The 15,842-nt window shown below is 54.2% G+C and overlaps 1 protein-coding gene across 9 annotated transcripts in view; it reads right to left on the bottom strand.

Annotated features, from left to right (window-relative positions):
- KASH5 (KASH domain containing 5) overlaps nucleotides 1–15,724 on the bottom strand; it is a 29,742-nt gene extending 14,018 nt beyond the window's left edge. For 4 of the 9 annotated variants that reach the window (XM_011526488.3, NM_144688.5, XM_005258549.4 and 1 more), the window contains exons 1-9: nucleotides 15,646–15,724; nucleotides 13,047–13,184; nucleotides 9,393–9,497; nucleotides 8,681–8,867; nucleotides 8,140–8,204; nucleotides 6,256–6,322; nucleotides 5,830–5,991; nucleotides 4,831–4,948; nucleotides 4,466–4,516 (exon numbers count right to left, since the gene is read on the bottom strand). In XM_011526488.3, the coding sequence (XP_011524790.1) occupies nucleotides 4,466–4,516; nucleotides 4,831–4,948; nucleotides 5,830–5,991; nucleotides 6,256–6,322; nucleotides 8,140–8,204; nucleotides 8,681–8,867; nucleotides 9,393–9,497; nucleotides 13,047–13,089 (798 nt within the window). In that variant the 5' untranslated portion in view covers nucleotides 13,090–13,184; nucleotides 15,646–15,724. Of the gene's footprint in view, nucleotides 1–4,465; nucleotides 4,517–4,830; nucleotides 4,949–5,829; nucleotides 5,992–6,255; nucleotides 6,323–8,139; nucleotides 8,205–8,680; nucleotides 8,868–9,392; nucleotides 9,498–10,115; nucleotides 10,497–10,553; nucleotides 10,628–13,046; nucleotides 13,185–13,326; nucleotides 13,396–13,634 lie in introns of those variants that run through there. The other 5 variants (XM_011526495.3, XM_011526494.3, XM_011526489.4 and 2 more) reach the window with 5 other exon arrangements.
- Between the last annotated feature and the right edge of the window lie 118 nt (nucleotides 15,725–15,842).

Here is a 15,842-nt window from a genome sequence, read left to right as displayed (position 1 = left end):
GGCTGCCTGGATCTTCAGTGTCTGAGTGTCTTGTTACTCCAGCATTATTCTACTGTAACTTGAGAACTCAATCTATAGATGCTCTGTAGGCAGCTGTGTGGAGGGGGAAGGTAGAGGGGAGGGAACCAAGAATAGCTCCAGTTTATCGAGGGCCGAGGGTGTCCCAGATGCTGCTCAAGGCACTCAACCTGGCAGCAGGCCTTCCTGGTGGGGAGGAGGTAGAGATGAGACTGCTGGTTGCTATTTACCCTGCTTACTCCTTCTGCTTTTGTCGAGGGATCTACTCTCTCTGTCTGAGGGCAGATGGGTCCCAGCCCCAGCCATGGGAGTGAGTCAAGGTGGAAATCTTGGCAGATGCAGGAAGCTCAGCTGGTTAGCTAAGCCAGCAGCCATTCTCACCCCTTCTCACTTGTTCACCTGCCACTCTAGAGGCTGAAAAAGGTCACATATTCTCCTGGGCTCCTTTGCAGCTGGGGGCGTTATGTCAGCCAGTTCTGGCCAGTGAGATGTAAGAGCTGCTGGGGGTGGGGTGAGAGGCTTCTGATGAAAGGAGCCACGAGAGGGGCATTTCCTGGCTGCCCCCCCCCTTTTTTTTTATTTTGAGACAGAGTCTTGCTCTGTCGCCCAAGCTGAGTGCAGTGGCACAATCTCGGCTCACTGCAAGCTCCGCCTCCTGGGTTCACGACATTCTCCTGCCTCAGCCTCCAGAGTAGCTGGGACTATAGCGGCCCGCCGCCATGCCCAACTAATTATTTATTTATTTATTTTTTGTATTTTTAGTAGAGACGGGGGTTTCACCATGTTAGCCAGGATAGTCTCGATCTCCTGACCTTGTGATCTGCCCGCCTCGGCCTCCCACAGTGCTGGGATTACAGGTGTGAGCCACCGCGCCCAGCCTCATGGCTCCCCTTTGCCCCACGTTTTCCTACTTTGAATGAGAACATGAGATTGAAGCTGTTGCAGTCATCTGCAATAATGAGGCCACAGGCAGCCAGGGAGCCACCAAACCTCCCAGAGACCACCTTCTTCCCAGAGACCACCTTCTTCCCAGAGACCACCTTCTTCTAAACCTCTGGTTAAGGAAATGAATGTCGTGTAGATTGAAGTCATCATTTCTTTGTTCTCTTCCCTGGAGCGTTCTGGACCCATTAGTGGCCATATTATCCATGTAGTCTGGTTATAATGGCTGAATGGCAATGAACTGTAAGGCAGGAAGTTCTGCCAGGGGGCTTCAGGGAAAGTTTTTCATTTTTAAAAATTTTTTTTGAGACAGAGTCTCGCTCTGTCACCCAGGCTAGAATGCGGTGGCACAATCTCAGCTCGCTGCAACCTCTGCCTCCTGGGTTCAAGTGATTCTCCTGCCTCAGCCTCTCAAGTAGCTGGGATTACAGACGCCTGCCACCACGCCTGGCTAATTTTTATATTTTTAGTAGAGGTGGGGTTTCACCATGTTGGTCAGGCTGGTTTCGAACTCCTGACCTCAAATGATCCACCCATCTCGGCCTCCCAAGATGCTGGGATTACAAGCGTGAGCCACTGTGCCTGGCCTTTCATTCTTTTATTTACTTTTTTTGTTTTTTTTTGTTTTATAGAGACGGGCTCTCACTATGTTGCCTAGGTTGGTCTCGAACTCCTGGCCTAGGCAATCTTGCTTTGGCCTCCCAAAGTGTTGGGATTACAGGTGTGAGCCACCATGCCCAGCCGGAAAGTTTTTCTTTTCCTTTTTTTTTTGAGACTGAGTCTTGCTCTGTCGCCCAGACTGGAGTACACTGGTACCATCTTGGCTCACTGCAACCTCTGCCTCCTGGGTTCAAGCGATTCTCCTGCCTCAGCCTCCCGAGTAGCTGGGATTACAGGTGTGTGCCACCACACCCGGCTGATTTTTTTATTTTTAGTAGAGATGGGGCTTCACCGTGTTGGCCAGGCTGGTCTCGAACTCCTGATCTCAGGTGATCCACCCACCTCGGCCTCCCAAAGTGCTGGGATTACAGGCGTGAGCCACTGCGCCTGGCAACTTTTTCATTCTTAAAAAGGGATGTTCTGAAAGAAACTGTCACATCCTGCTGCATTCCATGTCTCACATGGTACAGCCATCCTGCTGTGAGATTCCCATTGCCCCAAGGGGGTGAGTTTTCATGGAAGAGCCAGAAAATAGCAGAAAGATTTTGGATTTCAGTGTAAAAAACACTGCACATGTAGGACAAAGATATTTTTTGGGAATACATGATCTGTCTGGACTAGGCAGAGATCCTTAGAGCTGGGGGAGGAATGCAGGACAGACAGAGAAGAGAATAGGCTGAAAATGAGCCCAGAGTTTTCCCCTAACCCAGGGCTAGCTATGAGGGGTGGAGGGTATGGATGGAGAACCGCAGAGCCCTGGAAGTCTTGTGATCTGAGAGGCCTTGCGTGTACTTCCCAGAGCACTCTCAGAATCATCACGGTGTGAGAATAATAGAGATGCTACTTTCTTGTGAAAGCAAAGAGGCCTCACTGGTGGGTCCTCTCCAGACCTCTGCCCACCCCAGCCCTGTGTCCTCCAGTCTGTCAAGGCCTGGGTGGGGTTTGGGATCCTTCAGGGAAATGAGTGACGGACAGGGACTTTGCTAACAGCTCAGGGAGAACAGAGGAATCTCTCTCCTGTTTCTCTTTCCCCAGAGAAGCCACATCTCCCCACCATGAGCACCCACCCTGGCCTGGGGAAATGAGGCAGGGGCTTTGGGCAGTGACCCCAGCCTCTTCCCTTTCACAGGAAAGTAGCCAAATCACCTCCCTGGCTCTGGAAGGGTGTGGAAGTGGTGGAGTAAGAGTCCCAGCCCAGATAAGGGATCACCACCAGAAGATGAAGAAGATGGTATGTCCAGAGATCCAAAGGCAATGCGGGCCTCACAGTAGATGCCAGCACACAGTGGTGACAAACGCTTGGACAAAACCCATCAATCTCATGAACAGCAGAGAGGAGAAACATTGAGTGAGGATCAGCAGCCTCCTAGAGCACTAGGCTCCTGCATCAGTCTCCTGCAACTTAGATACCACCTTGAGGTCGGGGGTGGTGACAGGTTTCATTGTCAATTGATGAGTTTGTTTCAATCTAAAAAAAATTAGGTGGGCCCAGAATGAACTAAGATGATGTTTTTCTGTCTTGGATGGAACGGGGCTTGAATTAAATGTGAAGCTGAACTCAGTCTCTTCATATTGTTTGCTAGTCCCTCAGTGAAATGCTGTCAATCCTCAAAACAAGCCTACTGAACAGATACCCTTCTTCCAGTTCTTTGAAAATAAAAGTAGGTCAGGTGTGGTGGCTCATGTCTGTAATCCCAGCATTTTGGGAGGCTGAGGTGGGCAGATCACCTGAGGTCGGGAGTTTGAGACCAGCCTGACCAACATGGAAAAACCCCGTCTCTACTAAAACAAACAAACCAACCAACCAACAAAAAAACAAAATTAGCCAGGTGTGGTGGCACATGCCTGTAATCCCAGCTACTTGGGAGGCTGAGGCAGAAGAATCACTTGAACCGGGAGACGGTGGTTGCCATGAGGTAAGATCGCGCCATTCCACTCCAGCCTGGGCAACAAGAATGAAACTCTGTCTCAAAAAAAAAAAAAAGAAAAAAAAAAAAAAGAAACTAAAAGTAAAGGCTTGAGAAGGAGAAGTCACATGCTTAAAGGTTGCCTATTGTGTAAGTGGCGGAGATGGGATTTGAACTCAAGGTTGACTTCAAATCCAATTTTTTTTTTTTTTTTTTTTTTGAGAGGCTCTCGCTCTGTCATCCAGGCTGGAATGCCATGATGCAATCTTGGCTCACTGCAACCTCTGTCTCCCGGGCTCGTGCAGTCTTTCCACCTCAGCCTCCTGAGTGGCTGGACTACAGGTGCACACTACCATGCCTGGCTTATTTTTCTATTTTTTGTAGAGGCAAGGTTTTGCCATGTTGCCCGGGATGGTCTCGAACTCCTAGGCTAAAGGGGTCCACCCAGCTAGGCCTCCCGAAGTGCTGGGATTCCAGGCATGAGCCACTGTGCCTGGCTGTTTTATTCACTGTAAAAAATACTAATATAGAAACAATGCTAGATAACTTTTAGTGAGCACATCCTATGTGTCCTACCTTGTGCCCAAGACTTTGCAAGTATCCTTCGGTTGAAGTCTCACACAAACCACTGAGGCAGATGCCATTGTTTTGTTCATCTTTATAGGTGAGGCAACTGAGGCACAGAGAAGGGAGGCACTGGTCCACTCTTATGTAGGTGGCCTCAGCCTGAAGCCATGTAGGCTGACCCCATGCCTCACACTCTTGTAAACCACGGCTGTTCTCACAGTGTGATATAACCTCAGGGACATTCCCACACTACTGACATTCTGAGGTCTCCCCAAGACAGGCTGCTGGGGTGTTGGGGGCAGAAGGGAGTGGTGTCAAGAAGACCTTAAGGACTGGGGAAGGGGTGGGGGTGGTGCTGGGCCTCCGCTCACCTCCTCCTGCAGAGTCTCCATCTCAGCCACCAGATGCTGCTGCTCCTTTTCCTGACCAACCCCAGAGAGAGGACAAAGGTTTCATTTCTAGCCTCCTTGCCCCCATGTTGCCCTTCTCCCACCCCTGAAAACACAACCAGGGCCTGGGGGAATGGGTCTGGGAAGCCCTGATGGCTCCTGCTGTCTCCTTTGTCATGAGAAGGATGGCAGGTAAGCTTGAAAAAGTCTAGGGTGAGCAGGGCCTGGAGAGAGGGAGAAAGCCAGGTGACCTCTGCCCCTTCCTACTCCATAGTCACACTCTGCCGCCCTGACTCCAGGAAACAAAGAAGAGAGAGGGCACCTTCCTTCCCCTGGGCCAGACCCACCGCCTGCCGGGCTTGGGCCAGAAGGCTGCGATTCTGTTCCTCCAGGCTCCTGGCCAGAGTCTTCAGGTCCTCCAGCTCCTCATCCATGGCCTTGGCAAACTGCAGGGCCTGCTGGGTGCTGAATGCGGGTGGGGGCAGATGAGCCATACGAGAGGGAGGAAGGCAGAGAAGCACAGAGACAGATCCATTCTGAGAGACACTAGCAACAGAGAGATCCCAGGTGGTAGGCAGGGACAGAGACCCAGAGAGAGGGGAGGACAGAGACCCAGAGAGAAAAGAGGAGAAGGAGACCTGGTGTGGGCACAGAGACCCAGTTTTAACCTAAAAGACTGAGGAAGTGGGAAAGAGACCTAGAGAGAGTGGGGGACTAGAACAGGGAGACCACGATAAACATGAAGAATGACAAAGCACAGAGAGATGAAAGGGCGAGTGACATGAAGAATCAGAGAGTTAAAGAATAAAGAGAGAAATCTAGGCTGGGTGCAGTGGCTCAGGCCTGTACTCCCAGCACTTTGGGAGGATAAGGCGGGAGGATGGCTTGAGCCCAGGAGTTTGAGACCAGCATGGGCAACACAGTGAGAACTCATTTCTATAAAAAATAAAACAAAATTAGCCAAGCAGGGTGGTGGGCCTGTGGTCCCAGCTACTTGGGAAGCTGAGGTGGGAGGCTCGCTAGAGCCCAGAGGCGGAGGGTACAGTGAGCTGTGATCACCCCCACTGCACTCCAGCCTGGGTGACAGAGTGAGAACCTGTCTCAAAAAAAAAAAAAAGAGAGAGAGAGAAGTCTGAACCCTCAAGGGAAAGATAAAAAGACCAAAACAGAGGCTGAGAGATAAGAATCAGAGAGACACAAAAGATAAAAACAGAAAAGGGAAAAGAAAGGACAGGTACAGAGTCAAAGAGCAGGATGCAGACACGAGCATGGGAGATAGAGGCCGGCTGCTGCAGGGAGGACGGAGGCAGGGGCGCTGGGGAGGGTGGGTGTGGCATCCAGCCCACCTGTGAAGCTGCTTACGCAGAGCCAAGATCTCCTCCCCAAGGCGTGCTGACCCCTCCTCAGCTGTCTCCATGCTCCGCTGCAATTTGGCATTCTCCCCAACCAGACGTCGGTTGCTGAGCTCCAGGTCCTCCAGGCTGCTCAGCAGGTCAGCTGTGGCTTGTCTAGGGGCAAGGAAGGGGTTCAGGTCACTGTCCACAGCCCCTGACTCATTTCCCCGGGTCGAGGTAGGTGCTGGTGGTGGGGAGATGTGGCTCTTTTGGGGAAAGATAAACAGGAGAGAGACTCCTCTGCTCTCCCTGAACTTTCAGCAAAGCCCCGTCCCTCATTCATTTCCCTGAAGGATCCCAAGCCCTACCCGGGCCTCGGCAGGCTGGAGGGGACAGGGTGTGGGCAGGAGGGTCAGGGAGGGGTGTGAGGATAGGTACAGCTCGGGTCTGGGGTCTTCGCCTCCGAAGCTCTCCAGGTTGGCTGGCTCCTCAGCTTCTGGGCATCCTGGAGGGAGAGAGCCAAGAGAATGTTGGCTTCCCTGGAACCCTTAAACGTAAAGTGCCCCAGGGCTCTGAGGTTGGACTCCATCTGCCTCCACCCTCACCTGTGCTCTGGAGAATCTCATGGGCTTTTGGGGCTGCAGTTATACCCACTGTAAAGCCCTCTTGCTTGTCTTCTACCTTGAGCTCAGGCTGGATCTCCCAGATAACCCTAACTCCCCACATTCTTTACACCCAACACTGGGCAGCACTTCACCTTCCCCTTCCCAGATCCCCCACCGACCACTCAGCCACTGGGCGGACCTGGCTCCCTTGCTCCCTGTCACCCCCAGTCCAGCAGAGCCCAGACTTCTCCCTCCTGCCCCTGACTCTCTGCTCCACCCCTCCTCTCTGTCTCCATGCCCCGGCCCTTGCTTTCTCCTCTTGGATCCTCACCAGAGCCTCTTCTCTGGCCTTCTGGCCTCTAGTCCCTCCTCTGCTTGCAGCCCTCCCTGGGCCCCCAAGCCTGATGAAGGAGGTTGAAGAGAACTTCCTTCCCCACCGTTTTTTGTATGGCTAGAGAAATGGAACATGACCACCATTTTTTTTTTTTTTTTTTAAAAGACAGGATCCTGCTCTATTGCCCAGGCTGGAGTGCAGTGGTGCAATGCATGGCTCACTGCAGCTTTGACCTTTCAGGCTCAAGCGATCCTCCTGACTCAGTGTCCCGGCTAGGACCACAGGTACATGCCACCGCACTCAGCTAATTTTTTATTTTTAGTAGAGATGGTGTCTCACTATGTTGCCCAGGCTGGTCTCAAACTACTGGGCTCAAATGTTCTTTCCACTTTGGCCTTCTAAAATGCTGGGATTACAGGCTCACGCCTGTAATCATGACCACTTTTTTTATGGAGCACCTCCTATGTGTGAGGTCCTGGGGATACAATGGTGAGCAAACCAGCCAACTAAACCCAGGTGCCAGTGGCTAACTAGATAATCAGATTTCCTCTGCAGGTGGATGTTCCAATGGAAAGGCCTACAAGTCTAGGAGTGAGCATGGGGAGCAAGGAACTCTAGCCAGGGGCATACCAGGGCTTCCCCTTTGCCAGAGGAGTGGATGACGGCTTGGCGCAGTGGCTCACGCCTGTAATCCCAGCACTTTGGGAGGCCAAGGCAGTTGGATCACCTGAGGTCGGGAGTTCGAGACCAGCCTGACCAACATGGAGAAACCTCGTCTCTATGAAAAATACAAAATTAGCTGGGCGTGGTGGTGCATGCCTGTAATCCCAGCTATGCGGAAGGCTGAGGCAGAAGAACTGCTTGAACCCAGGAGGCGGGGGTGGCGGTGAGCTGAGATTGCGCCATTGCACAACAGCCTGGGCAACAGGAGTGAAACTCTTATCTCAAAAAAAAAAAAAAAAAAAAAAAAAAAGTCCAGCAGGGTGGGGAGCAAGGAGTGGAGGGGAACAGCCTGAGCAAGGACCTGTGCTGGGCAGAAGTGGGGCACATTCGAGGAAGGGCAGCAAGACCAGTGGGCCTGTGAATTCCTGGACTAGAGTGAGGAGAGGTGATGTTAATGATGGAGCAGAGGTAGGCGGGGCCTCGTAGGCCTCTCTAATAGGGCTGGTGTGAGGAGAACGAGTTGGAAACCACCCTCTGAAGAAAAGAAACCCAAAGCTCACGGAAGGAAGGGACGGAGGACCTAGAAAGCCACACTCACAGCTCTAGTCTACAGTAAAGGTCCCTGGTTCCTACCCTATCCCTTGCTCTGCCCTGGGTGGTAAGTCCCCACACTGTCTGACCCAGGGCCTGCCTGCTTCATTCTATATATAGCAATCTCACCAGATGGCAGTTGCCGGGAGGTCAGGGCTCCCTGGAAGGCGGTCTCCTCTTCCAGCTCTAATCCCCTGTATCAAAGGGATGAGGCTTAGCGCCCCACTGTAGCTGCCCCTCAGTCCTCACCAGCCACAGGCAGGGGGATTGCAGGTGGGAGGAGGGGACCGGGTCAGGTGAGAGCTGGCACCACAGGGTAGGAGGGTGAGGCCAGATGGCAAGTGCCCGTGGCCAGATGGAAAAGCAGGAGGGGCAAGGAGTGGGTTTGGTGAAGGGTTGGGGAGGGACCTCTGTCAGCCCCAAACTCCTCCCTTCTCCAGCCCCATTTTATTTCTGTCTCCCAGACCCCCTCTGCTTCCTCATCCAAATTATTTTGTCCTCAGACTCCCTATCTACCCCCTCTGAATCCCGTCTCTTCATTTTTCTCTCCACAGCCTCATTCCAAACACAGTAGGTCCTTGGGCCTAAAGGATGCTGGCTCCAGTAAGCAGGTATGAGGTTAGATCTTAGGAAGGACTTCCCAGAGGAGGATGAAGATGTGGGGACTCACCCATGTAGTTGACAGGCAGCAATCCAGTCACGCATGACAACCAGGAAAGTGTCCAAGTCCACAGTGGCCTTAGGGCCCTCCCCATTGGGGTCCAGGCTGTTGGCCAATGTTTGGAGGCGTGCATCCTGGGGGCCCTGGCCTGTCACAGCCTCCAGGTAGGCCAGCACCTGGGCCACAGCCACAGTGCCTGTGACAGAGCATGCAGTGAGGGGGTCTGGGGCAGGTGGGGAGTGATGGGTATGGACTGGCAGCAGCTTGGGACCAGGATGTCACTGGCTAGGCTGGTGGCACTCCTGCTCCATGGCCCAGTGGAGACACACTGGGCAAGCCCTTTCCCCTCCTCTGAGTCCACTTTTTCACCTGGAAATGGGGCCCAGTCATCCCCCCATCACAGGGTAAACCAAAGGGGATGGACATAGGGACAGCATCAGCCATGCCCCACGCCACCATGGTGGCTGCCTCCCTCCCCTATCCCACGACCCCAAAACTCTGCCCTCTTCCATCAACGTCCCCCAAGTTTTCCTCATTCTAAAAGGCCTTCACCCCATTATCCACGTTCTTCTTCCTGAAGCTTCCCATAATCACCCACTTTGTTCTTACAATACCCCCAAGAGGGGGCCTTAGCCCAGTCTTCTCTCTGAGGCTCCCCAGTTCCCAGCCTCCACCCCATCCTGCCCGCACTGGTCCCCAGCACCCCTCATGCCCCCACCACCTGTCCTCTGAGGGTCACAAGCTTCGAACGTGGAGTTGAGTATTTGCTCCTCCAAGCTGACCGGCATTCCCAGCCTTGCCTCCTCAGGCCGCTCCCGGAGGTACACTGGGGAGACAAGAGGGCTCAGCTCACCAGTGGGAAGAATAAGGAAGGAAGAGGGGTGACCCCAGGTCCTCAGCCTCCTGGGCTCTGTAGCGGGGAGGGAATTCACTCAGAGCACTGAGAGTTCGGGCGGGTGGGGAACAGCAGGAAGCTTCAGGAGGGGGCAACAATGTGAGGGTCTCTGAGTTACTTCCCCCCATCTTTCAAACCAGGAAGTCCCCCCTGCTGTCTTTTTGTGTCCAATTGGCTTAGGAGCCCAGAGAAGAACGCTCTGAGATCACCCTTTCCTCCTCTCCTCTCCAGCCTCCCAGGCTGGACTCAGAGAGGGACAGGGTCGGGGAGGGCAAAGAAGAGAGGATTCTGGGAGGAGCTGAGAGTGAAGGGGGGGCCCAGGAGCCAGGAACAATCCAATAATGCATGGGCAGCCCAGATCGATCCCGCCTGCTGCATCTCCGGTCTCCCAGCCCACCCTGGGGACCAGGTCTCTCTCCTCCCTGCATCCCTAAGGCAAGGGTGGCATCATTGGAGCCCATGGCCAGGGGCTGAGACATGAAGGGATAGGGTAAACCAGACAGGGTGGGCAGTGAGGGAATGGTTATGAGCTGGATCAGTGTGTCAGACCTGGGTGCAGAGTCCAGCTGCACATCTGTGGGCAAGTCTCTTCTGTTAGAGCCTCGGTTTCCCTACTGGGGGGGTGGGTAGAGTGATCCTCCTCACCAGGGCTGAGTTAGCTCTGTGTATGTGAAGCACACGCATGTACACACACACACACACACACACACACACACACACACACGTCCTGGGGTCTATTTGTCTACTGTTGTAGCCACAACACCTGCAGATGGCAGGTGCTCAACAAATGCTCCATGACATAGGAAGAGATCCTCAACTGCAGGAGCCACTGGGCTGGCCCAGCCTCTCTCCCAGGGCTGGAAGTGAACTTCTAGGCTCCCTGCCCTGGCCTTGAACAGCTGGGTGCAGCAGCTCACTGAGCACAGGCTGCAGGACGGGGTAGATCCAGGGGGCAACCGAGGCTTGGCCTCAGACAAGTGGTGGCACCTGGGGCAATGGACTCAACTTCTCTTGGGCCTCAGTTTCTTCCTCTGGAAAATGGGGTTGGTGTTACCTCTTTCCTAGAGAGAAAATGAGATACAATCTAGAAAGGCTTTGGCAGAAGGCCTGGCACGTGGTGGGGACTCAAGAATAGAATTGAACACTTATTGAGCATTTAGTAGGTGCCAGGCCTTTTCTGAGCACTTTACATGAACTGTCTACTAGCATAATAATAATCGATGCTATTATAATCCCTACTTTACAAATGAGGGGACTAAGGCATAGAGAAACTAAGAACTCGCCAAAGGTCACCCTGTTTAACATATGAGTCAACTTTCTCATCCCTCTAACTCTTCCAGGATTCTCTGCAGTGAGTGAAATTTGCACCCCCTCTGTCTTGAACCTATGCTCCTAGGTTTGGCCCTTGGGAAGGGGCGTGTGGACTCACAGTTAGGGGGAGACCAGGGCTTTAGCCCCAGTCTGTTTTCCTCCTCTCACTGTTTTTTTTTTTTTTGAGATGGAGTCTCGCTGTGTCACCCAGGCTGGAGTGCAGTAGCGTGATCTCCGCTCACTGCAACTTCTGCCTCCAAGGTTCAAGCAATTCTCCTGCGTCAGCCTCCCGAGTAGCTGGGATTACAGGTGCCTGCTACCAGGCCCAGCTAATTTTTGTATTTTTAGTAGAGATGGGGTTTCACCCTGTTGGCAAGGCTGGTCTCGAACTCCTGACCTCAAGTGATCCGCCCACCTTGGCCTCGCAAAGTGCTGGGATTACAGGTGTGAGCCACCATACCCAGCCCTCTCAGTGTCTTTCTCATGTTACATGAACGAGGACCCTGAGGCCCAATGAGATGGTTCACCCAGGGCTGCTTGCCAGAGAGAGCTAAGCTGGGAATAGAACTCAGGACTGGCATCAGGTCGTGCTGGCTCTGAGGATCAGCATGTGTCTGAAGTCGCATCCCAGGATTCCCCCAGGGAGATGTCATTTCTGTTCCTCAGGAAGATCTCCTTCCTCAGTGTCTCTATCTCCTCTATGTCTCTGTCCTTGCCTCTTCGTTACATTTCTCTTTGGCTCTTTCTCTCTATCTTTCTCCCAGTCTCTCTTCCCCACGTCCTGTCTCTCTGCCTCCATGTCGCTTGTCCCCGTTTTCTTCCCTGTATCTCAGTCTCTGTGCTTCCCTTCCCATATCTCAGAGACTCTCCATTCCCTAAGTCTTCTCTTTCCTTCCTCTGCTGTTTCTTTTTCCCTTTGCCTTCCTCTGTCTCCATCTCTCCTTCTGGGTGTGTTCCTACCTTTCCTTCCAGAGCCTCTCGAAGCTGTCTCAGCCCTTGCCACCCGGATCCTGGTGGCTGCACGCCCTCTGCTGGTGCAGGTGAAGTTTAGATGGCTGTCACTAGACAGCCTGTCCTCTGGTTCCCACACCCTGGTGTCTACCTCTGACCCTCCTATCTGGAAAGCCTCCTGAGGTCTGGGGCTTTGTAGAAAAAGACGCAGGCTGTGCCGTGGATGCCTGGGAGCCTCTAAGAAAGGGGCCCTACCATCCCCATCAGACTGGGCTCTCTCACTTGGCAGATGAGTTTCAGAGAGGCAACCCCAGTGCCTCCTCCCCACCCTCTGAAGCCAGCTTTCACACCCGTTCAACCTACATCCGTCCGTTCACTCAACAGTAAGTGAGCTCCCACAGTGAGTCAGGAGTTGCTCTGGGGTCCCAGCCAACAGGGCAGTCTCTCCTTCTGGAGCACCTGAACTGAGGCGAGTGTAGACTGAAATGCTCTGTTAGTGTAAAGTACACGCTAGATCTTTAGGGCTTAGTATGAAAAAAACAGATTATCTGGATACATTTTTTATATTGGCTATATATTGGCTATATACATATATATATCTCTATGTATGTATATCCTGTATACATATATAATATACAGGGTATTAGTCTGGCTATATAAGGAAAATCCATTATCAACATTCATTTCACCTGTTCCTTTTTTCTTTTAAAAAATAATAAATTACCTATGTGGCTCATATTATACTTCCACAGGACAGCGCTGCTCTAGGGACTGGGAATACCAGAGTGAATAAAACAGACGCTGCCTTGTGGAGCTCATGCTCTAGCAGGGGAGACAGAGACAAAACATGACATACAGATGTGAGCACTGTGAAGAGAAATGAAGCGGGGCAGGGGAGAGAGTGTCACAGGGCAGCTGCTTTACATAAAGTAAGAAGTGCCATCTGGGCCGCGATCTGAATGGAGTAAGGGGTGCGGCTGCTTGCGCTCTCACACAGTCCAGCCTCCCCACAGGAGATAAGGGGTAGTGACAGGTGGGCGGGCATAGAGTAGGCACTTAATCTACCAGAGTCCCTTCCCTCCCTTCCACTCTGCACCCATGCAAAGGCTCAGCCACCCCCAGCCACCTCTCCCAAGTCCCCGAGTCACAGCCTGGCACCCATTCACCCATGGCTCCCTCCTCACCCTCCCCGGGGCAAATAGGGTTCCAGCCACTTACTTTCCGCAGTGGGGCCACCCACCGGGCCCTCGGGCAGGTCCATGGGCCACCCCTGCCGCGGCGCAGCTGCTGGCAAAGCTACCAGCCTCCCTCCTTCATGGGGAGGGATGGGAAAAGGACCAGCTGGCCCGAGCACTCCTGGAAGGAGAAGCAGGAAATGGTGTCCTCAGAGCAGCCACCAAGGGTCGGGGCCTGCCTAGCCCCACCTGTGCCCCAGGACCTCTGGGTCCTCACAACCTGTTTGTCACCCCCGCTGTGACCTGAGCAGCTCCGCTCTGACCTGTTTTATGGATTGGAGGTGTGGGCTGGAGAACGAGGTGGCTGACATCAAAGGGGCTAGTGGGTGGGTGGGGGAGGTCACTGCCTCCCTTTCTTCACATGGCTTGCCGCCGGTCCAGGCTGCCTGGTCCTCTTCCCTGGCCTTTGTCCCAGCCTCCTATCCCCAGGCTTGTCCTCCAGTCTGTCCCCACAGGGCCCCAGAGCTGACCTGCCCCTCCCCTGCTAAGTACCCTTCCATGGCTCCCTGAATCCTGGGTACGGGTGAGACCCTGGCCCTGACGCCAAGGCCCTGCATGGCTGACCGCCCACCTCAGCACCCCAAATCGCACATGATGCTCCAGCCACTCTGAGCTGCGGACCGCTCCCATGCCCAGGTCTCTGCCTGGGACGCCCTCCTGCATCCTGCTTCGGCTTCACGTGGCCTCTTCCGGGAAGCGAGGGGCCGTGTCTGGCTCCCACACAGCCCTGGGCAGCTGCCATTCTTGCCACATCAGCCTGGATTTGGCCGGCTGGCTTCTCATGGGAGTTTGATCCTGACTTGCCCCTGCTCCTGATCCTCCCATGGCTCCCTAATGCCCCCGGACTAAGTTCCAGTCCCTCAGGCTAGAGTGGCATTGAGTAGTCTCTGAAGCTCCTGCCTCTTCCTGTCCCTTTTCTCTCCGTCGGGCAACCCCTAGGTCTCTCCTCATCATGGCCCCAAACCTGCTGCTCCCCTGGGTTCCAACTCAGGATGTACATGGTCCCCCAAGCCCAGGCCACCTCCTCCTCATCCCTGCCAGCCCCACTTGCAGCTGCTCTGGGCAGTCCCTGCAGCAGTGACAGGAGTTTGGGGGGCCCCATCCTGCCTCCATTCCACCCAGGCCGACCCAAAACCTTAGTGGCCGCACTCTGGGGGCTAGAGAGAGACCTGGGCGCTGCTATCATCACAGCGGGCACGGGCGCCCCTTGGGGCCACCAGTCGAGCCTGGGCTCGCCTGTCCTCACCCAGCTCCCCCAGTGCCTGCTCTCCCCAAGCCACGTGAGCCCGCTGCCACCGTTCTGGAAACACGGGTCTTTGAAGAGAGGCCCTTCCAGGGTCTGGAACACCCTGCAGGGTGCAAAGGGGGGCGATGGCCTTGGCTGGGCCCTGGCGCACGGAGTGGGTTCGGGATGGAGTCCTGAGGGACCCCGGGGGTGTTGGTTGATCTCGGGGGTCTGACGGGACTGAGACGGGGACACTGAAGCAGGATGGGGCCCTGGCAGGAGCTCTGGGTGGTGTGGGCCTTGGCGGGCTTTCAAGGGCTCTGACAGGATTTTGGGGGGGTCTCTGACTGGATTTCTGGGGAGTGTCTGGCTGGATTTTGGAGATTTTGATTTCTGTGGGGGTCTCTGACTGGATTTCAGGGGTCTCTGGCTGGATTTCGGGGGTCTTGATTTCTGCGGGGGTCTGATTGGATTTCTGGGGGTTCTCTGACTGGATTTTGGGGGTCTTGATTTATTCGGGGTCTCTGGATTTTGGGGGTCTTGATTTATGCGGGGGTCTCTGGATTTCTGGGGGTCTCTGGCTGGATTTTGGGGGTCTTGATTTCTGCAGGGGTCTGACTGGATTTCTGGGGGTCTCTGGCTGGATTTGGAGGGTCTTGATTTCTGCGGGGGTCTCTGAGTGCATTTCGGGGTCTCCGTTTCTGGGGTGTCTTTGATGGACTTCTGTGCTCTCTGACGGAATCTGAGGTCCGACTGGGTTTGGGAGGGGACCTGCCAGGATTTCTGGGGATCTCTGACACGAGTCTAGGTGGCTCTGCTGATCTGGGGAGAGTAATAGGATTTTGGGGAAAGTTTCTGGCAGGCTCTGAGGGAGAAGTCTGACAATTTCTAGACGATTCTGACAGGATTTCGGGGGTCAACTATAAGATTTCCTGGTGGACTCCTTTCAGTATATCTGAGGGGATGTGGTCAGGATTTTTTTTTTTTTTTTTGAGACGGAGTCTCACTCTTGTCACCCAGGCTGGAGTGCAGTGGCGCGATCTCAGCTCACTGCAACCTCTGCCTTCCAGGTTCAAGCAGTTCTCCTGCCCCAGCCTCCTGAGTAGCTGGGATTATAGGCGCGTGCCACTACGCCTGGCTAATTTTTTGTATTTTTAGTAGAGACGGGGTTTCACTTCCCCGGGATGGTCTCTATCTTCTGACCTCGTGATCCGCCCGCCTCGGCCTCCCAAGTGGTCAGGATCTGGGGGGCCCTGACGCAGGGGTATCTCTCCCACAATATGGGGGGGCTTCGCTAGGATTTCGGTAGGGGCTGGGAAGGGCCATTCTGGGAACCTCGCCGCGGGGCAGGGCGCACCTGGAGCCACGTCCTAGTCTCGGGACACAACGGACATCCACGAACGACGAACGGCAGTTGAGTTGGGGGAGGTGCGCGTGAGCTTTTCCCGCCAGAAAAAGCAAAAGGAGGCGAGGGGTCGCGAGTGCGCGTGCGCAGCGTCTGAGCCCCGCCCCTCCCCGCCCGGACTCCTCTTAAGACGCAGGTGCAAACCGGCG

Source organism: Homo sapiens, chromosome 19 (assembly GCF_000001405.40).
Source record: "Homo sapiens chromosome 19, GRCh38.p14 Primary Assembly".
Lineage (NCBI taxonomy): Eukaryota > Metazoa > Chordata > Mammalia > Primates > Hominidae > Homo > Homo sapiens.
The sequence above is the reverse complement of the archived record's forward strand: the minus strand, read 5'-3'. Positions and strand labels throughout refer to the sequence as shown.